This window comes from Homo sapiens, chromosome 14 (assembly GCF_000001405.40).
Source record: "Homo sapiens chromosome 14, GRCh38.p14 Primary Assembly".
Taxonomy (NCBI): Eukaryota; Metazoa; Chordata; class Mammalia; order Primates; family Hominidae; genus Homo; species Homo sapiens.
Window position 1 is genome coordinate 43990295 of NC_000014.9, and position 24155 is coordinate 44014449.

At 33.8% G+C, this 24155-nt stretch overlaps 1 long non-coding RNA gene across 1 annotated transcript in view; it reads right to left on the minus strand.

The window, feature by feature from the left end:
- Positions 1 to 237: 237 nt before the first annotated feature.
- Positions 238 to 24155, minus strand: part of LINC02307 (long intergenic non-protein coding RNA 2307) — a 395530-nt gene continuing 371612 nt past the window's right edge. Inside the window, exons 3-4 of the long non-coding RNA NR_187192.1 lie at positions 5333 to 5549; positions 238 to 488 (exon numbers count right to left, since the gene is read on the minus strand). This is a non-coding gene — a long non-coding RNA (long intergenic non-protein coding RNA 2307). The remainder of the gene's footprint in view (positions 489 to 5332; positions 5550 to 24155) is intronic.

Here is a 24155-nt window from a genome sequence, read left to right on the forward strand (position 1 = left end):
AACGAATATTTCCCACTGTTCTAAGTTCTACTGCCTGATGATTGACCACAGTGGGAGTTACATACAATGGCTATCAATTCAAGAGCAATTAATGAGCAGTGAAGCTTATAGAGAAAGCAACATGATCAATAATACCTTTAAAATCTTCTAAATTTTAGGGGAGAAAAAGAATCACTGATGAACAGAGAATGCTTATCCACTTATAAACATTCTCATCACAATAATATGAACGTTTCATGATGCTGGCACAGGAAAAAGTTCTGATTTTATTTTGGAAAGGTTATGTTTATAATCATGTACAATATTTTAGATGATATTTGTTTTATAAGACAAGAGAACATAATAGTCGACCTGTAATGACCAAAAGTAGTTTATATAGTCAAAGTTATCTTCCTTTGGGCCTATTCAGAAGAGTTCCAAGTTCAAGGAGTATTCAATGGCAGAACTTCGATCTTGTCTCATCAACTGAATTTCTATTACAGCTTAACCTGGAAACAAAAAAGGAGAAATGGGAGCTGAAGGTGTAAGTATAGATTGAATTCAATCAAGTTAAAACATTTTAAAAGTGTAAGTATGATGTTTTCCATAAAAATGACTGTAATTTTTGTATATTAATTTAAAGATAATTATCCAGACATATAAATCAGCAATGTCTAAGGCATAAATACTTCAAAATAAAAGATTATTCCAGTGTAGACATATTTCAATACACACTAAGATTCTGTTTATTGATGATAATTTTCAGTAAATCATTAGTATTTTTAAATAAAATCGACTATAATAAAATAAATTCTCTTGACTGTATTTTTATTTCCTATAATATTGAATAAAATAATCTTAAATTCAGGAAAAATATTATTTGAGAGTATTAGAGACTTTTGTATTATGCAATCTAAACCACAAGTGGGGCACAAGTACTCCTTGACTGATATGGCAAACTGTTACAATAATATAAAAGTCCAAATGATGAGAAAACCTTTTAAGATTATCATTCTTCACATCATGAACATGTTCAAGTGTATCCACATTTGGGTCTCTTTTTCAAAGCACCAATTTGGAATTAGGTCAAGTATCTGAAGAATGCTTCTATAGATTATATTAAAATTACCTTAGAAGGAGAATGGTCACAAAAGTCTCCTTTGAGTTATGCAAAGATAAGAAAATATTCATAACCACTGTATTATTTAATAATTACAGAGGATATTATAGCTTCTACAGTGCTTTCATGCTGGTTAAAATACAGCTGAAAAATTACAAATTAAGATAACATAAACAGGATATTATTTTCTCCCTCTTAAATTATTTGCAAACTGTAGTCACAGAGTGTGGTAGGCAGGATTATAAAATGGCCCTGATATTTTTAGCTCCTGATATCCACACCTGTCTGTAATCCCTCCCTCCTGAGTATGGGCAGGACTAACAACTTGTTTTTAACCAATAGAATAGAAAAGAGGAAATGAATTTTGAAGATGTAATTAAGGTCTCTAATCAGTCAAATTTATGTTAAACAAAAAGGAAATTAACTAGCTGGGCCTGACCTAATGAGGTGAGCCTATTAGAGTAGAGATGAAAGAGATACTCCTGCTGTGCATATGTTCATTGCAGCACCATTTACAACAGCAAAGACATGGAATCCATCTAAATGCCCATTAACAGTAGACTGGATAAAGAAAATGTGGAAGTACACACTATAAGATACTACACAGCCATAACAATGAATGAGACCATATTCTTGGCAGCAACATGGATAGAGCTGGAGGCCATGTTCCTAAGTGAACTAGTGCAGGAACAGAAATCCCAATACCACATGTTCTCACTTATAAGTGGGTACTAAACCTTGAGTACACATGGACACAAGGATAGGAACAACAGACACTGGGACCTATGGGAAGGTGGAGGGTGCAAGGAGGATGAGGCTCAAAAAGTTACCTATTGAGTATTATGCTTATTACCTGGATGATGAAATAATCTGCACATCAAATCCCTGTGGTATGCTATTTATGAATACAACAAACCTGCACATGTACCCATGAAAGTAAATGTTAAAAAATTAAAATTTTAAAAAGCCACACAAAGAAAACATGACTGGCAAAAGATCAGACTCTATAGGATTAAAAAATAAAAATAACATATAGTAAGTCAATGCAAAGATATCCACATAAGCAAAATCACACACTCTTTCTCTTTTCTCTCTCTCCCACCCACATGCACATATTTAATGTGCCATGAAAGTCCTCTATGACCACAAATGTTTCTCACATTTGTGATCCTCTTCAGGTTATATGACACATAGGAATTTCAAAGGAAATTCAATTGAGCTCCCAAAGCAATGCTGATATAAAATGCTAACCTACTACAAAGACACACCAGAAAATTAAAGAGTTTTTTGCTTTCAAATGAAAAATACTTTAACATATATTTATATACAGCACATAATATGTATATACCTATATACACATTATGATATGTATTTTAGATTTATATATATAGTAAAGATGCTCAGTTTTGTTTACCTTCATAAGTGGAAAAGAGTAACATTAAGAGCAATTTCAAAACATTTTCCCCATAGCTATTGAAGATTGTGTTTTCCTGATATCATATTTTATGTGAATTACTGAAATTTAGAAGGTTTGCATGCTGCTACAAAAACAAACAAAAATAAGCGCCTCTAAAGAAACCTTGGATCTATTAAATGAAAACTCTTGCTGTTTTTAATTTTTTCAAATTCATAAGAGCAACAATCAAGGGTCAAGAAATAAAAATCTTCTGTGTACAGGCAATGTCTACTTCTGACCACACTTAAAACCTTCCCCAAATTGCTTTAAAAATAGCAGTATTTAATAATTTAAAGATAATCCTTCAATTCAAATTGTTTTATTCTGAGGCAAAAAAATAATTTGTAGAAATGCATTGCAGGTTTCAATCAAATATACTACTTCTAGTGATTTACAAGTGATGGTTAAATATATGTAAATAAAAAAGGGCTAAAATATTTCTACTTTAAATAGCGGGGAGGAAAGCATTCATTCATGTAAGAAATATTTACTGTGTCTGTATGCACTGAAGGGTTACAAACTATGGTGTAATAACTCTGTCCTAATATTTCCCAGTTTGGGAGAGAATAGATACACAAACCAATTATCATAGGCAAGTGTGGAAATCTAAATTAAAATGAATAATAGAGTCATTAGTTTGGACAATTGCAGAATAGTTATAATAAATAATTAATACACATATATATCCACCCCATACACAAATACTCCTATAAATTTATTTTATTTACATATATATACATTTTTGTGTGTGAGTATATATATATACACACACATATACATACATGTAGGAACTCTATATAAAAGGTATAATATATAAGATAAGTATATAAAATAAATCTTGAATAATTGGGGGGTTTGTACCCCATTCTGAATTGGGAAAACAATATAATAAAGTGTGAATTGTCCTTCAGTGAATCTATTTCAAGTAAATTAAAAACAGAATTTTAATGGAAACTGTTTTACATCTTGACAAATATTTCTAAGGGTAGTAATAACTTAAAAAACCCATAAAACTCAAGAATAACCAAAGTTTTTTTATTAAGAAAGTAATAGAAGGTGAAATATTAATTTTAAAAATGAAAACATTTAAAAATACAATAGTTTTGGTGATTGTTTAATAGTAAAAGAGAAAACTAAATAGAAATTCAAGGAGCAAAATTTGTACTACATACAGATTGAGTATGTGCTCAGAGAAACATTTTTTATCAAGGTGCAAAAATAAATTATTCAAAAATACTCTTGGTACTGTAAGTCTTCCAAATTAAAAAAAACTTAAATAACCTACTCATGACATATATCATTAATCAAAAAGAGTACAACAATTAAAAATTAAGAAATAAAATCATGTAATAAATAGGAGAAAATACAAGCAGTTCATCATACTCGTTAAGCATATGGAATATGGAGTTGGACTGCTTGTATTGAAATTGTGGCTCTGCAATTTACATACTACTGTGACTTTGGTGAAATAATTTACTATTTCCATTTCTAGGTTTAGTCATCTGTAAAACATGAACAAAAATAGGGGCTTCATACAGATATTTTGTGAGGTATAGGGGAGTCAACATATTATAAAGAACAGTGTCTGACACATAAGAAGCTTCATATAAATCACACAGAGGTGGTAAACAAATTCTAAGTATTAAATCAGCGGAAAGAAACAAGCGTGAGTAACAAATTTATTTTTTAAAACATGAAGCAGTACTTCAAAAGAGACTATAGATAGAACTCAAAGAGGAATAACAAACAGAAAAATGACTATAACATAAATGTAAAGAATAGCATCCTTGATGTAAATTTGTAAATAGAAAAGAATGGAGCCACAGGGAAAATTAGGCAAAAACAGGTACTTCACCAAATAGTAATATAAATGACTCATCAATTTACAAAGTGTGCTTAAACTAGCCATTTAGAAAATGACAACCACATAAATAACTGTTAGATAAAAATGAAACTTAAAATAGCAACAATAAGAGATTTTTAAAAGTCAAGGCATTTTTACCTCACCCAAGGTACTAGTAAGAATGTTGGCACAATCTCTCTGCATGGCAATTTGACACTTTAAGTAAAGATCTTTAAGTATATTCAAGTTCTTTGACCCAGAAGTTACGTATCTAATATTCTCCATATCACAAATATAAGGACGTATACAAAGATTCACGCAAAAAGACATTTATCAAAGTATTTTATATACAATAGTAAAAATGTTAAAGCAATATGAACGTCAAAAAATAGAAAAATACTCAGTTACGGCATGATATATTCAAACTAAAATTATGTTACAAAAAATATTTTGGGATTTGAGAAAATATCTACAATATCGTATTTTGAGGAAAAATGTTATAATACTACTTAAGTAGTACTACCCTAATATTGTATAAAATAGAAAAGCAGAAAGAGAATATATTCAAATATTGTCAATAGTAGTATCAGTATCATTAGCTTTTACTAATTTAACTTTTTCACTTGTATTTTCTGTTTTTCTATGTTTATTTTGAATGTGTTTAATAATTATACAAATTAAAACACAATTTATGTTTTTAATATGATCTCACTCTCTACTGAGACAAAAAAAAATAAGAATCCCTAAGTGGGCATTTTCAAATTTAATTTTTTCATAGTGATTTCTTTCAAAAAATTAAGGCACTTTCAGTTTGAGTTTTTCTTTGTATGATAACTTGGATTCAGTAACAGACATAAGACATAATTTTAATGTTAAGTTTGAAACTTATCACTTTTACAATTGACTATTGAAATTGGACTTACGATGTACTCACCACCAGTATTACTTATCTTTCACGCAGGCAGCTGGCTCAGTGTCCCTTGTGGTGAAGGCAAGGCTTCAGCACATCTTACATATGCCTCCATGGCAGGATTCACAGCAGCTCTGTTGCACACATTCAACCCTCCACCTCCAAACCAATGGGAGGCAGTGGTTCTTCCCACTGTGCTGTAAGGCATGAGATCTGGCTTCCTTAATACTTCTTGAAAGGTCTGGGAATACAATTGACATAATACATCTTTTCAAGTAGCAGTTTTTACAAGATGAACATTTCTCAAGAAGTTATATAAATTAAAATATTTCAATCACTTTTGAAAGTATTTTTGCACACCTTTCCAGCCAATTTCAAGGCATGTATTAAAAGTCTGTTGAATGTAGTATCTAATTTTCACATGAATTCTTCTAAATACTTACTATAACATGATCAACAAATAAAACTAAGTTCCTACTCTCTCTTAGCCTATAATTCGGGTTCACAGAGGGAGAAAGGCAATTAGAAAAGTAGTAAAAATGCATGTAGCATAATTCTCATTATAAGAGGAACCAACCCAAATGCCCATCAATGATAGACTGGATAAAGAAATGTGACACATATACACCATGGAATACTATGCAGCCATAAAAAAGGATGAGTTCATGTCCTTTGCAGGAACATGGATGAAGCTGGAAACCATCATTCTCAGCCAACTAACACAGGAACAGAAAACCAAACACCACATGTTCTCACTCATAAGTGGGAGTCGAACAATGAGAACACATGGGCACAGGGAAGGGAACACCATACACTGGGGCCTGTTGGGGGTTGGGGGATGGGGGAGGGACAACATTAGGAGAAATACATAATGTAGATGATGGGTTGATGGGTGCAGCAAACCACCATGGCACATGTATACCTATGTGACAAGCCTGCACATTCTGCACATGTACCCCAGTACTTAAAGTATAATTAAAAAAAAAGTTTTAAAAAAGAAAAGCACATCACAATGAAACCTGGTCATGCAAAGTTAGGTAAGACTTGCTGGAAAAAGTGACAAATATACTGAATGCTAAAGGGAAATTAAGATTTTCAGCTGCCTTGGGTTCTGCTTCACACATTTTATTTGGGTCCCATCTTTTCACTAAATGCACATTTTCAAAGTTAACAGTTATCTTCACATTGCCAAATTCAATGGTCAATCTTCATTATCAAATCACATGGTCCTCTTAGTAGGATTTCTCAAAATCGCCATTTCTTCTTGTTGAAACCCATTCTTGTTGACAGAAGTGTTCTACTCATCAGTTGACAGAAGCAAAGTGACAGAAACGTTCCATTTATTCATTGTTTTACCCAACAAGTATTTATACCCATGATTTACCATGTATTTTTCTAAGCACTGGAGATGCATCAGCAAACAAAAGAAGAAGAAAAGAATCCTTTGTCTTATACCATTTGCATTCTATTGGGTGGACATAGAAATTAAAAATAAGTAAGTAAAATGCATCAGTTTTTACTAACATTAAAACAGTTAGGTTTTAAATGTTATGAAGAAAAATAAACCAGGACAGGTATACTGTTAAATGCCAACATGAAAGTGAGGAGCCAATTTTAAATAGATTAGTTAGAACACATCTTACTGGGAAAGTAATATTTGAACAAGCATTTGAGGAAGGTGAGGGACAAAACCATTAAGATCTCTGTGGGAGAGACATTCTAGGCAGAAGAAATCACAAATGTCAAGTTCCAAAGTTAGGAGTATTCCTAACAAACCTCCAGCACAAGCAAAAAATCTAGTAGAGAGAAACAGAGAGGATAAGAAAGAGAATACTAGGAAATAAGGCAAGGGAAGAAACAAGGGGATAAGCCATCTGGGGCAAGTGAAAACAAAAATTTCAATCTGTGAGAGTAAGATCACCAAGAGTTTGAATATAGAAAGAGAAAAAGAGAGGAACAAGGATTGTGACTGAATTAATTCCTTTGTCACTCCCTCCAGAAAGATGGGAGACTGATGGACTGGGGAGATGGGAGGAAAACTGAGAAAGTCCATGTTTCTATTAGCCAATCAAGAATGTAATTCGACAAGAAGAAATGGCAATTTTGAGAAATCATACTAAAAGACACATGTGATTTGATGTGAGGATTGACTGTTGAATTTAGCAACATGAAGATCACTGGTAACTGAAAATACTGCATTTAATGAAAAGGTGGGAACCAACTAAAATGTGTGAAAAAGAACTAGAGATGGCTTTGTGGAGAGGTTTGATATAAGGGGGAACAGGTAACTGGGAAGTAGCTGAAGAGGTAAATGTGTTCAAGTTTGATGGCTAATAACAAAGATTTAGTAAAAAGTAAAAAATGGTGATTAATTAGATCGTGATGATATTTGCTAAAGGAAAGTCCTAAAATAAAGGAAAAGTGATGAGCCCTAATAAACAAGTAGTGTTTTTGACTCAGTATTGAAAAAAATGAATGAGTTATGACCAGGAGATCTAAGTTTCTCTTGGTGGCTAACATGCACAAAAGTTATCTGTACAATAAGGGTAGTAGTGATGGTCCAGAGCAGATAGTAACAGCAAGGAAATAAATGTTGGAAGGTATAAGAGTATATGCAAATCCCTGACTTCCCATTACTGAGAACAGGAAAGGCAGATTCATATGTTCTCTTTAAAGATGTTAACAGTAAGTCCTATTAAATATTTAATGTGTGTACATTCCCAGTGTTCTTCTTTTGTTGTTGAAAGACAAAGACAAATTAGTGATTTCTTTTAAAACACATATCTTAACTGACATGACACTAGCACTTTGTCAGCTGAAGATTTTGGTCCAAAACGTGTTCCTAACTAGTGTGTGTGTGTGTGTGTGTGTGTGTGTGTGTGTGTGTGTATGTAGGAGAGAGAGAGAGAGACAGAGAAAGAGTGAGAGAGAGAGAGGGAGACATATACCTCCTCTGAGGCCTTTAATCTATCATAAAAGAGTTGGTCAGACAGTTGTCTTTTAAGGTTAAGGTTGAACGAACAATGGCAATGACAAAAAAAAAAATCTTAGCTTTTAACCTTTTAGTCCTCTGGAGTCTTATCTCAGGTCAAGGTAACGTCCTTTTTTTTTTTGACAGTGTTTTGTTCTGGAGTGCAGTGGCACAATCTCAGCTCACTGCAGCCTCCGCCTCCCAGGTTCAAGTGATTCTCCTGCCTCAGCCTCCCAAGTAGCTAGTATTACAGACATGTGCCACCATGTCCAGCTAATTTTGTATCTTTAGTAGAGATGGAGTTTCACTATGTTGATCAGGGTGGTCTCCAAATCCTGGCCTCAAATGATCCACCCACCTCAGCCTCTCAAAGTGCTGGGATTGCAGGCATGAGCCACCGCACCCAGCCAGATCAAAGTAAGTTCTATTAAAAGCTTCGAAAATCACTCTTCGTTGGCATAGCTCATTTTCAATAATCTGAATATAGATTCTTATCTTTTACCCTAAAGTATCTTCTTTATATTTTGTTAGCCAGTAAATTACCAGATTGGATTCTCCTCCCAAAAATATTTTAATTAAAAAAACATAACTTAAAAATACTTGTAAGTCCATGAAAGAATATTATTGCTTCTAAAACAGTAAAGGATTGCTTCTGCATCAAGGAAAAGTGCTGTAACAGAGATACAAGGGTATGGTTCACCCTCTTGCCTGAAACAAACAAACAAAAATGAATGAAATAGATGAATGAGTGGTTTTTAAGATATTGGACATCAGGCACCAAGGAACAGGAGCACCTAAAAAAAACAGAAACAAACAAGTGGCCCTATGATTGTCACAGCTTACTACCTTACAAGAGTTTCCAGGGTATGGAATAGAAAGGGAGTACCCGTGTGAAACCAGCGGACCTCTTGAGTTGACAGTCCAGGAAGACCAAGGTGAAGAACCACAGAGAGAAGAACTTACTAGAAAGAAAACTTCAAAGGTCTGCCGTGGGTCCCCCTTAGGTATTCAACAAAATACTTGTCAACAAAGCACTGAATAAACTATGCAAGATCAGGTAAAGAACCATCCAAAAAGGAGTAGAGGAAATGAGAGTTGATGTTACCACAGGGCCAGCCAAACTGAAAAACATCGTAATTCATAGGTCTTTGAATAAAATGTCTTGATTCATTATTAGCACAAAATCAGCTTTAGCCTAAAGGCTGCTCTTTTCCTAACAGATTTTAAAACCCAAGATCTGGGTGATCAAACTGTTGCCAAGTAATTTAGCTGCATCTTAGAAAAACATTTAAATATATTTGTAGCAATATAAAAATGTTCAACCACAAAAAGATAAAATTCAAAATGTATGGCATTGAATCAAAATTAACCAGTTAGCAAAGAAGTAGAGAACAATAAACCAAAATAAGGAGAAAGATTCAATTAATCAAAATAAACCAGAACTGACACAGCTGTTAGAATTATCAGGAAAAGACCTTGTAATAGCTATTAAAATATAATCCATATGTTCAAAAACTAGTAGAAATATTGAACAAATTAAGTAGAGACAAGAAAGTTAGAAAAGAGACTCAAATAGAACCCTGTAAAGATGACAACTACAGCTACTAAAATGAAAAATATACTGAATGGGATTAACCACAGATTAGACATCACAGAAAAAAAATGTAATAAACATGAAGACGGAAAAAAAATCTAAAATTAATATGTGTAAAAATTTTAAACTATAGAGAATATTAAACTGTTGGAAAATTTCAAGATGTGTAAAATACACATGAAAAGAGAAAAGAAACAAAAAGGCATATGAAAAGTTGCTCAGCATCATTGGTCATTAGAGAAATGCAAATCAAAACTACAATGAAATATCATAGCACCCCAATTAAAATGACTTTTATCCAAAAGTCAGACAATAACAATTTCTGGTGAGGATGTGGAGAAAAGGGACCCCTTGTACACTGCTGGTAGGAACCTAGTACAACCACTATGGAGAACAGTTTGGAAGCTACTGAAAAAAACTAAAAATAGAGTTACCATACAATCCAGCAATCCCATTGCTGGTTATATTCCCAAAAGAAAGGAACTCAGTATATCAAAGAGATATCTGCACTCCCATGGTTTTTGCAGCACTGTTCACAATAGCCAAGATTTGGAAGCAACCTGAGTGCCCATCAACAAATGAATGGATAAGGAAAATGTGATATATATACACAACAGAGTACTATTCAGCCATAAAAAAAGAATGAGAGCCTGTCGTTTGCAACAACATGGATAAAACAGAAAGTCATTATGTTAAGCGAAATAAGCTAGGCACAGGAAGACTAACATTGCATGTTCTCACTCATTTGTGGGATCTAAGAATCAAAACAATTGAACTCATGGAGGTAAAGAATAGAAGGTTGGTTGCCAGAGGCTGGGAACGGTAGTGGGAGAGAGGTGGGAATGGGTAATGGATACAAAGAAAATAGTCATAAAGAATGAATAATACCTAGCATTTGGTAGCACAATGGGGGGACTATAGTCAATAATAATTTAATTGAATATTTTATAATAACCAAAATAGAATAATTGGATTATTTGTAACACAAAGGATAAATGCTTCAGAAGATGGATGCCAAATTTTCCCTGTGATTACCATGCATTATATACCTGTACCAAAATATTTTATGTACCCCATAAATATGTACACCTACTATGTGCTCACAAAAATTAAAAATTTTAAAAATTAAAAATCTGATTTATAAAATAAATAAAAATTGTGAAAAGGCCAGGCATGGTGTCTCATGCCTGTAATCCCAGCACTTTGGGAGGCCCAGGAAGACAGATCGCTTGAAGTCAGGAGTTCGAGACCAGCCTTGCCCACATGGCAAAACACCATCTCTACTAAAAATACAAAAATTAGCCCAGTGTGGTGGTTTGTGCCTGTAGTCCCAGCTACTCAGCAGGCTGAGGCAGGAGAGTACCTTGAACCCAGGAGGCAGATGTTGCAGTGAGGAGATATCAGGCCACCACACTCCAGCCTGAGCAACAGAGTGAGACTCCTTCTCAAAAATTAAATTAAATTAAATTAAATTAAAAAATAAGGGAATTAATTGTACCTTTATACACAAAGCATGCAAGTACTTGTATAAACTTCTCCTTGCCTGGTGGTATAAGGTAAACCTCTGAGTGATTTTACACACCAGTTGGAGGATGGGTGGTGTTGGATGAGAGCCACAGATAGGTTCTTTATATCATTCTTTAGGATGTACCACGCATTTTGATGTACATTTCATTTGCCCCTATCAAATACAAATAAGCCCTGTGTATATTCTTCCTTTATTGCTGACGAAGAAATGACTTGGAAATCTTAAATGACTATGTAAGACAGCTACTGAACAGAATTAAGATTTTAAGTCCTCAGATTGACATGGAAGTGGTAGTTTATCCCAAACTCTGTTCTTAAAAAACTTTAAACACTCCATAATGCATCTTATATTTTACCCATAAAGTAGACCTATATCTTGCAACTTACTTACATCTTGATTATTTCCATTCAAAGTTTATTTTACACAACTTAGAGACAACATTTACTTCTCAATTTTTTTTTCCTTTAAATAAATGGAGTCTTATTATGTTGCACAGGCTGGCCTCTAACTCCTGGCTCAAGCAATTTCTGTGCCTCAGCCTCTGAAGTAGCTGGGATTACAAGCATGTGCTCTCTCTACTGGCTCCATCTTCTGTCTATAGATTTATTTCAATGGCTAAGGATTAAAACAGAGGTAATGAAATGGCCTAAATGTAACAAATAAACAGGTTAATAAATCTTAAAGAGTTTTTTCTGGTAAGTGTGAATTGAAGCCAAAAATACCGTAGATAGGAGAAGCTGGTAACAGGGCAGGAAAGTACCACACATTAAGCATGGAATGATGATAAGAAGTGGTAAATCAGAAAAGTTGAAAAAATAGACTTTGTGAGCACAGAATTTGCATTTTATGTTTATTTGCGTGACAGTTGAATTTTTATTGCAATTTGCCTCTTTAATTTTTATGGCATTCAATACTTTGATAATAGAAAACACAAAAAAAAGAGAAGAAAGAGGATAAAGATAGAAGAAATAACTATGAAATCAGACTTTAGTAGTATATGATTATTTTACTTTAAAATAAAATTTGACCATTTTAGGTCACTTGAATTTTGGCACAAATTTTTTTAATTTGCTTGTCTGGAAATTCTGCTAGGAAATTCTGCAAGGATTGTGGTTGAGATTGCATTGAATCTATTGACCTAATTTGGGGGGAATTAACATTCTTCCCTCTATTCTATTTGCTAATCAATGAAGGAGTGTAATTTTATCTTGATTTAGGTCTTTTTAACAACATTTTGTGGTTTTCAAAGTGTTCAAGTCATACACATCATTTGTCATATTTTGACCTATGTATTTCAGATTTTTTAAGTTGTCATAAAGGGTAGTGATTGTTTAATTTAGATTTCCAATTATTTGTTGCTTGTATACATAAATATTATTGATTTTTGCATATTGATCATATAGTCTCCAACCTTCCTATATATACTTGCTATCTCTTGTAGCATTTTTGTAGATTTTGTTTAATTGTCAACGTACGTTATTATGTTATCATAGGATAAAGACGGTTTTTGCTCCTTTTCAATCTGGATGCCTGTTATGTATTTTTCTTGCCTTTTTGTATGACTAAAATAACCATACCATGCTAAATAGAGGAAGTCAGAATGGACATCCTTGCCTTTTTCCTGAAGTCAGGGGAAAAGCATTGTCTCTCATCATTAAATTCCATGTTAGCTGTGCATTTGCATAGGTGCCGAGTGGGGGTTGTGTCCCCCACAAAAGTTGCTGAAGTCTTATCCTAACTGTGAATGTGACCTTATTTGAAAATAGGGCCTTTGCCACTTTTCAAATGAAGACATACGTGTGGCCAAAAATCATGTGAAAAAAAAAGCTCATTATCACTGATCATTAGATAAATGCAAATCAAAACCACAAAGAGATATCATCTCATACTAGCTAGGATGACTATTACTAAAATGTCAAAAAACAACATATGCTGGCGAGGTTATAAAGAAAAAGGAGCACTTTTACATTATTGGTTGGGAGTATAAATTAGTTGAACCATTGTGGAAGACAGTGTGGTGATTATTCAAAGGCCTAGAGGCAGAAATACCATTCAACAGAGCAATCCCATTACTGCATTTACACACAAAGGAATATAAATTGTTCACATGCAAGCATATGTTCATTGCAGCACACTATTCACAAGAGCAAAGATATGGAATCAAGTTAAATGTCCATCAATGATAGACTGGATAAAGAAAATGTGGGACATATACACCATGGAATATTATGCAACCATAAAGAAAGAATGAGATCATGTCCTTTGCAGGTACATAGATGGAGCTGGAGGTCATTATTCTTAGCAAACTAATGCAGAAACAGAAAACCAAATACCACATGTTCTCGCTTTTAAGTGGGAGCTAAATGATGAGACATCGACACAGAGAGGGTAACGACACACACAGGGGCCTATTGGAGGGTGGAGGGACGGAGGAAGGAGAAGATCAGGAAAAATAACTAATGGGTATTAATGGCTTAATACCTGGGTGATGAAATAATCTGTACGACAAACCCCCATGACACAAGTTTATCTGTCTTACAAACTTGCACATGTATCCCTGAACTTAAAAGTTAAAAAAAAAAAAAAAAAGAAAATAGCATCTTTGCAGATGGTCAAGTAGAGATGAGGTTATTAGAGTGGGCCCTAATCCAATATGACTGTGTCCTTATAGGAAGGGGAAATTTAGACACAATGATAGACATGCATAGAGGAAAAACAATCTGAAGACACAGGGAAAACACCATCTATAAGCCAAGGAATGCCTGAGACTATGAGAAGCTAGGAGAGAAGCATAGAACAGACTCTCCCTCACAGCCTTAAGAAGGATCTAACCCTGCTGACAACTTGATTTTTGGAACTGTAGTCTCCAGAACCATCAGACAGTAAGCTATTGTTGTTTTAAGTCACTTAGTTTATGGTACTTGTTATGGCAGATCCAGGAAATTAATGGCATTCATCATCTTGAGGAAGTTCTTTTGTATCTCCAATTTGCTGAGAGATTTATTAAGAATGGATGTTGAAATATGTTGGCGAGGTTGTGGAGAAAAGGGAACATATCCAAAGGAAAATAAATCATTCTACCAAAAACACACATGCACTCATGTTTATCACAGCACTATTCACAATAGCAAAGACCTGGAATCAACCTAGATGCCCATCAACAGTGGATTGGAAATATGGTATGGGCTGGGTGCAATGGCTCACACCTGTAATCCCACCACTTTGGGAGGCTAAGGTGGGTGGATCTCTTGAGCCCAGGAGCTCAAGACGAGACTGGACAAAATGGTGAAGTCTTGTCCCTACTAAAAATACACAAAATTAGCTTGGGCAGTGGCTCCCACCTATAGTTCCAGCTACCTGGGAGGGTGAGGTGGAAGAATCACCTGAGCCTTGGAAATCAAGGCTGCAGTGAGCCTAGCTTGCACCACTGCCCTGCAGCCTGGGCAACAGGAGTGAAACCCTGTCTCAAAAAAAAGAGGAGGAGAAGAAAAGAAGAAAGAAGAAAGAAGAAAGAAGAAGGAGAAGGAGAAGGAGAAGAAGAAGAAGAAGAAGAAGAAGAAGAGGAGGAGGAGGAGGAGGAGGAGGAGGAGAAGAAGAAGAAGAAGAAGAAGAAGAAGAAGAAGAAGAAGAAGAAGAAGAAGAAGAAGAAGAAGAAGAAGAAGAAGAAAGTGATCCCTGTACATCATGGAATACTAGTCAGCCATAAAAAAGGAATGAAATCTGGCCTTTGCAGCAACATGAATGCAGCTGGAGGCCGTTATCCTAAGTGAATGAATACAGGGGTGGAAAACTAAATACTGCATGTTCTCATACACATGTAACAAACCTGTACATACACCCCCAAACCTAAAATGAAAGTAAAACAAAACTTAAAAGAAAAAAATAATAGATTTTGGATTTTGACAAATACCTATTCTCCATCTATTAAATTGAGAATATGGTTTTCTTGGTATTTTGTAAATCCGTTTAATTGCATTGACTGATTTTTAAATGTTAACACAACATTGCAATCCTGAGATCAATGCTACTTGGTCGCGATGTATTTTCCTATTTATATGTTAAATTAAGTTTTCAAAAATTGTGTTGTTAGGTATTTGGCATGTTCTATATTTCTTAATTAGCTCAGTAATGTTGTCAGAACTGCCTGAGAAAATTTGTTCTATCAGATACTCTTTGTTTCTTTTTTTAATATTTGAACTTTTATTTTGGATATGGGGATACATATGCAGATTTGTTACATGATAATATTGCTTGATGCTGAGGCTCAGAGTATGAATCCCATCACCCTGGTAATGAGCATAGTACCTCACAGGGAGTTTTTTAAATCCACCACTCCAACCCTCTAGTAGTCTACAGTGTTTATTGTTCCCATATTTATGTCCATGTGTGTACAATGCTTAGCTCCCACTCATTAGTGAGAATATCTGGTATTTGGTTTTCTGTTTCTTCATTAATTTGCTTAGGATTAAGGCCTCCAGCTCCATCCATGTTGCTGAAAAAGACATTATTTCATTCTTTTATATGGCTGCATAGTATTCTATAGTGTATATATATACCACATTTTCTTTATCCACTCTACCATTGATGGGCACCTGTGTTGATTCCATGCCTTTGCTATTGCAAACAGTGCAGTGTTGAACATGCAAATAAGGATATGTGTCTTTTTGGTAGAATGATTTATTTGGGGGCTTGGTATATACTCAGTAATGGGATTTCCAGGACACACGATAACTCTGTTTTAAGTTTTTTGAGAAATCTCCAAACTGCTTTCTACAGTAGCTAAACTAATTACATTCTCATAAACAGTGTATAAGCATTCCCTTTTCTCCCCAGTCTTGCCCAGCATCTGTTGTTCTTTGACTTTTTAATAATAGCCATTGTGATTGGTGTGAGATGGTATCTCACGGATGTTTTGATTTGCATATCTCCAATGATTAGAGATGCTGAGCATTTTTTTCATGTTTGTTGGCCAATTGCATGTCTTCTTTTGAGAAGTGTCTTTTCCTGTCCTTTGTCCATTTTATAATGGGGTTATTTCTTTTTTGCTTGTTGATTTAAGTTCCCTATAGATTCTGGATATTAGTCCTTTGCCAGATGCATAGTTTGTGAATATTTTTCACATTCTGTAGGTTGTTGGTTTGCTCTGTTGGTAGTTTATTTTGCTCTGCAGAAGTTTTTTTGTTGTTGTTTAATTAGATCCCACTTATCTATTTTCGTTTTTGTTGCAATTACTCTTGGAGACCTAGTCAAATATCCTTGCCAAGGCCAATGTCGAGAAGAGTGGTTCCTAGGTTATCTTGCAGGAATTTTATAGTTTGAGGTCTTACATTGAAATGTTTAATAGATTTTCAATTAATTGTTTATATAGTGAAAGGTAGGGGTTCATTTTCAATTTTCTGCCTATGGCTAGCTAGTTATCCCAGCACCATTTATTGACTAGGGAGTTATTTCTTCATTGTTCGTTTTTGTCAGCCTTGTCAAAGATCAGATTGTTGTAGATGTGTGGCTTCGTTTCTGATTTTTCCATTCCATTCTATTGGTCTATGCATGGGTTTTTGTATCAGTACCAAGCTGTTTTGGTTACTGTGTTTTTATAGTATGGTTTGAAGTTGGGTAGTGGGATGCCTCCAGGTTTGTTCTTTTTGCTTAGTATTGTTTTATCTATTCGGGGGCTCTTTTTTGCTTACATATGAATTTTGGAATAGCTTTTTATTTCTAATTCTGTGAAGAATGACATTGGTAGTTTGATAGGAATAACATTGAATCTGTAAATGCTTTGGGAAGTATGACCATTTTTATTATATTAATTATTCCAATCCATGAGCCTGGAATGATTTTCCATTTATTTGTGTCATCTATGATTTCTTTCATTAGTGTTTTATAGTTCTCTTTATAGAGATCTTTAACCTCATTGGTTATCTGTATTCACGGGTATTTCATTTTATTTGTGGCTATTGTAAGTGGAATTGTGTTTCGATTTCACTCAGCCTTGATATTGTTGGCGTGAAGAAATGCTACTGATTTTTATATAGTTGAAATGTTATTAATGTCTATATACAAGTCAGATATTGCACATTTACAGAATGGATTGTAAGGTTTGTAGATCTGACAGTGCCATCATGGTCCATTCACATGCTGTGATCCTCAATAGAATCATTTAACAAATTCTGATGAAATAACTATGTATTTTACTCTGGCAAAGAATTTTAGTCTCCTTCTGTTTTAAAATGTGTTACTATAATAAATTAACTACATCTATGCAGTCTCATCTACAGATTATTTGAGCTTCCCCGAAGGCTCACAGGCTAGCTCTAATGTCTCTAAGAAAGGCAACCTCAAAACACTGTAGAAAAAGATAACCAGGTACTATTAATGATTGATATTTCAAATAATAGTCCAAGCTTGAAACCTGAGAGCCGACTTAGTCATTTGTCAGACTCTGTCGTGGTCTATTGAGGTTGCCAGGACTCTTTTTAATCCAAAGCATGACTTCATGAAAAGAGAGGCATATCCAAAACCTACCCTTAAAAGAATTAAATACATAGAACTGAATGGACTAGGGAGTAAAAAGTGGTTGTGGTCATTTGTTTCAGTATATTGTTATTACTTTTTAATAGTCTGTTTCTTAATAGGCATAAGAAAAAGCCTCTTTTCTTACTTTAATCTATTTCCAATCCTCAATTTAATAGATGATGCTTTTGCCAACTGAAATTAAATATGTTTAGAATCTGATTCTCATTGATCCATCTGAATTTAGAAACAAATAATTTGCTGAGGACTGTTTATTAAGATTTTACCCCAAAATTTTTCTGTGTAGACTTTTTGAAGTTGAGGTAAAATTCACATAACATAAAATTAACCATTTTAAGTGTACAATTTAATAGAATTATACATTCACATTATTTCTGCAACCACTACTTCTATTCAGTTCCAAAATATTTTATCATTCCCAAAGAAAACTTGTTATACTTTAAGTAGTCATTCACTCTTTCGTCTCCCCCTGCCCAGCCTCTGGCAACCGCAAATCTTTCTGTCTCCATGCATTTACCTATTCTAGAGAGTTCAAATAAATGGAATAATGCAATATATGACTTCTTGTGTGTAGCTTCTTTCACTAAGCATAATAATTTTGAGATTAGTCTATGTTGTAGCATATATTAGTACTTCATTTTTATTACTGAAAATATTCAACTGTATGGCTGTACAATATTTTGTTTATTCATCTATCCATTGATGGAAATTTGAGGTCTTTCCATCTTTTGGTTACTGTGAATAGTGCTGCTATAAGACATTTAATTTTGTATAAACATTACTATTGTTTGCATGACAAAATTTTATATAAAGTAAAAAAGCAGGACAATATGCATATAACCCTTTTAATAGAAATTAATAACATTATTTTTCCCTTACAGAAAGTTCTAAATAAAATAAAATTACATTGCCAAATAATTGCATAAATAAGGCCATGAGAGACTATTATCTGTAGTTGTGCTAAAAGGACACTTTATCTGAAGAGGTATTTAAGTCTATCCCAAGTACTGGGACTGAATATAAAAATGTATGTTACATAGGGGATTTATAGGAGAGAGAAAAAGAATATAGTTTGTGAATGCAATTCTGAACTTGATTGAATGCATGATTGAATAAAGAAATGAATGGAAAAGATATAGTTAGTCTTGATTTGGTGACCTTTAGCTTTACGTGCATGAAGTATATCTGCTATGTTGTATCTGGTAACAGAATATAAAACTGCAAAATAAAAAATAAAAATAAAAGCACTTCAACAAAATTTGTATCAAATAAAAAAAGTATATCCTCACTTCTACTATCCAGCATTTCATTTAGATTAATTTCCAAATAGCTTCACTTCTGATGCCATTTTATTTTTTATAGTGCTTGAAACATCATAGGTGCTAAAGTATTTTTCGCATGACTATTTCATTAAGACTTAGGCTTACATCACTGTTGTATTTAGTGTCCTGTAGTATTTTTTAAATGTTAAAATATATGCTTATGTTTATGAAGACAGTTTAAAAGCTAGCTATAACACTTTAATTTGTGACTGTTCATTTAATCATAACCTGAATGTCGAATGATAACATGTCAATTACTTAGAATAAGATACACAGTGCAAAGACATATTTACTCATGAGAGTCATCATATGATGAAATACTTGTTGCTGTGTACTCTGCAAAACTAAGTTAAAGCAGAAGTTTAAAATGATAAATACAGCTAAAATATAGCACAATTTTATTTTGTTCTTATTATGTCTGTATGTATAACCTATGCAAACTAAAATGCATAGGATATATATGAAAATATTAGTTGCTATCTTGGGGAATTGAATTTGGAGTATTTTTCATTTTGCTTTGCTTATATGATTATATTTTTCTCTAAAAATTCACAAGTATCATCTGCACTTTAAATAAAATATATTTTTATCCTGAGTTATTTTTCCAGACTGCTTTAGTGAAGGACAGACTGGATTGATCATGTATGTAAATAATCAGAGACAACATTCATTGACTTTGTTTTTTACAGACTGTACACAGTGCAGGAAGTTTCCAGTTACTTTTAGTGTATATTGCTCAATCTGTCTTCCAACAATACCCACGAAAGCGGGTTCCACTTTAAATGAAATGTACATGATTTATTTTGGAAAAATTTCAAATAGCTATTACTTTTTATTAGGTTTCTTTTCCCTCTCCACCAAGTATTCGTTTGAGAGGTTTCATTGTACCATATTGCTATATTTTGTCAGAAAGGGAACAAAAGGATTTATCCTTTTAAAAGTTTTTTTGCCCTTTTTAGGTGTTCTTTTGAGAGCAGACTAACAAAGGGAGATTTTTTTCTCCAATGAAGTTCTACAGTAGGAAAAAAAAAAAAAGTGAAACAAAAGACTAGGGGAAAAAACAGAAAACCTATTATCCTGAAAAACATATTTCTGGTTGAAATATTATTGTTTTAATGTCCCTCACATATAAAGAAGTTAGTTGAAGACTCAAAGTCAACTTTTTCTCATAAATTCTTCAGTGAAAGAAAATGGCAAAGTCTCTGTTTGCAGATATTTAGTCAATAATGTACTCTCCCAGTTCTAACAAAAATCATTCAGGTCCAAATTTCAATTGTGTCACTAGCAGGCTGTGCTACTTGGGAAAGTTTAAAAATCCCTCTGTACTTCACCCTCCTCATTTGTAAAATATAGAGATGATAAAAGTATCATGTTAGAGGATCACTGTGGGAATTAAGTCAGATAATAGTGATCCATTATTAATACTCAATACATATTAGCTATCAACACATTATCAATATTATATAACAAAGAATATTACTCTCAATGTTATCGCTGTTCTTATAGGTAGATTAAGGGTTTTTAATTCACTATAATTATTTGACATAAAACTGAGATGGCCTAGATGGTTCTATTATAAAAAGACAGTATCTGTATCAAATTACTTATTGACATGGGTTAGGTTTTCTTTTCCTCCACGACCCCAGACTGCACAGCTTTTATCTACAATCATAGTTAGAAGAGTCATAAAAAAGTTTACTGGGAGAGATGCACTAGAAATAGGGACAAATAAATCTTCAGTATTGGAAATGAGACTTCAAATATTATTCAGCATTTACATAAATAATGTGCACTTAGCAACAGGCATTAAAAGATATTTGACACCTTGTTTGACCATTACTAGTTTATAAGTAACAATTCAAATCTTTATAGATATTGCTTCAGGAGACAAGCTCAATTCAAAAATATTCACTCATTACTATTAAATGTTGTTTTGTAGAGAGACAAGGTCTTGCTCTGCCACCCAGGCTGGAGTGCAAGTGTTATGATCATAGTCCACTCTAACCTATAACTCCTGGATTCAAGTGATCCTCCCATCACAGCCTTCCAAGTAGCTGGGACTACAGGCACACACCACCACGTCAAACTAATTTTTTAATTTTTACTTTTTGTAGAGACAGTGTGTAGACTATTAGATATTCTTAAGCAACTTACTGACAGCCACAAAATTCAGTGCATCCTCTCACTCCTTTGAGACATATATACATCCATCAAATTGTTACACACACACACCTACAAACACATGAAGGTTTTACATATATAGATTGTTCATTTAGGATAAAAAAGAAAAAAAATCATTGAATGGAAGCAGATTTTAAAAATCCCTGGCTTCTAAATTTATAATCTACTTTTCAAAGGGTTATGTTAACTTATTGTCCTAACAACAACTTTGGAGTACAAAAACTTTGTGAAAACTTATATATTCTCATTTGGGAGAAATTTGTTATTTAAAAATTTAAATAGGGCCTGGTGTGGTGGCTCATGCCTATAATCCCAGCACTTTGGGAGGCCAAGGTGGGCAAATCACCTAAGGTTTGGAGTTTGAGACCAGCCTGGTCAACATGGCCAAACCCCATCTCTACTAAAAAATACAAAAATTAGCCAGGCATCATGACAGGCACCTATAGTCCCAACTACTCGGAAGGCTGAGGCAGGGAGAATTGCTTGAACCCGGGAGGCCGAGGTTGCAGTGAGCTGAGATTGCACCACTGCACTCCAGCCTGGGCAACAGAATGAAACTCCATCTCAATCAATCAATCAATCAATAAAATGACATTGCAGTCAATATATAATTGTAATTTGAAGTAATACTGATCATTTTTCTATGGGCATTCAAGTGCCTTTTCTTCTGTTGTTTATCTCGTTTTTATGTCCTGGAGTCAGGGATTTTCTTAGGGATAGTTCTATTCAGCATAAACTGGAATTCTTTGATGCTGACTTTCCTTCCTGAATCTTTTCATGGAAGGTAAACAAAGGATACATGTCTCATAATTTTCTGTTCAATAATAGACTTTGATACTCTAAGCTGTTTGTTTTTTTATTTAAAGCAAAAATGTATGTCAAATATGCATAAACTATAATTCAAGTTAAGTGAGATTTCAATAATCTTATGACTTAACTTATAAATGATTGATATTTTGGTAATCAGACACTAACATTTGAAGCTCCCTGCATACAACTGAAATATTTTCTTTCCTTCTACAGGGGCACATTATACTCTGATTTTAGTGTTTATCATTTATATGCATTCTTTTAGATGTTTCTGTAAACAATTTACAATTCATTTTTCATTTGTAATGTTTATGCATTTATATAAACTATCATCCTATATATATTTTTCTGAAACTTACTTTTTTCACTTAATGTATAGGAGGTGTATCCATATTGCTGCAGTTCTCAGAGTTCTATCATTTTTATTAATGTTTACATTTTCCTTGATTGTATGCAACATTATTTATCCTTTCTCACCTTAATATTTAAGCTGTGTTAGCCAGATGCCGTGGCTCACACCTGTAATCCCAGGACTTTGGGAGGACAAGGAGGGTGAATCACTTCAGGTTGGGAGTTTGAGACCAGCGTGGACAACATGGTGAAACCCTGTCTCTATTAAAAATACAAAAATTATCTGGGCATGGTGGCACGCACTTGTAATCCAAGCTACTCAGGAGGCTGAGGCAGGAGAATTGCTTGAACCTGGGAGGCGAAGGCTGCAGTGAGGCGAGATCATGCCAATGCATTCCAGCACGGGCGACCAAGGGAGACACCATCTCAAAAATGAATAAATAATAAAAATAAGCTGTGTATTTGTCTTCCTTTTTTTCTGCTATTACAGATAATGATTCTGTGGATATTGCTATATACAGTCTCTGAAACATGACTGAATCTTTCTTTAAATATTATATATATATATATATATATATATATATATACACCTATAGAGACAGAATGAGTGCTTCATTGGGCATGCTTTCTTTAACTTCAAAATACCCTCTAAACATCTTTTTACAAGTTTTATTCCCACCAGCTGTATATGATAGTTTTATTATTCTGCATTTTCTTCAACATGTAGTATTTTCAGACTTTTAAAATATTGTTTCTACTACCATATGTGAAATGGTATGTTGAATAAGGTTTATTTGTCAATTCTTTGATTACTCATAAATTTGAGTGTCTTTTCTCAGCCATATTGGCTATTTAGGTTTCCACTTTATTATTTATCCAGGAGCGTATTTAACATCTTTTTAAATTTTCACTGAAGCACTAAGTTACAGAGAAAGGAAACATCAAAAGGAGGTGCCAGTGACAATGATGGCCTTAAACATTCCCATCAACTTGACTAAATTTTAGAGATGTTTCTTCCCGACTGCCCTTTTCATAGAGTATTGACAACTTCTTATTGTAAATTAGTTCTCTATCTCTTTGAAATACTATACAAGTCTTTCTCCCAGCCTGTTGCTAGTTTTAGAACCCAAGAATGTCTTTCTCAAGGACATGGAAGCCATCCCTTTGAAATGTAATCATCAAGAATATGAGTGTCCAGGCCAATGTCATGAAGCTTTTCCTCTATGTTTTCTTCTAGCAGTTTTATAGTTTTAAGTCTTAAATTTAATCCATTTGAGTTGATTTTTGTATATGGTATGAGATAAAGGTCTAATTTCAGAGCTTTAAGGTTTAACTGACCCATTGGATTTTGGACTTGCATGAGGCCTGTAGCCCCTTTGTTTTGGCCAATTTCTCCCATTTGTAATGAGTGTCTTTACCCAATGCCTGCACCCCTATTGTATCCAGGAAGTAATCAACTTGCTTTTGATTTTGCAGGTTTATAGGTGGAAGGGACTTGCCTTTCTCTGATGAGACTTTGGATTGTGGACTTTTGAGTTAATGCTGAAATGAGTTAGGAC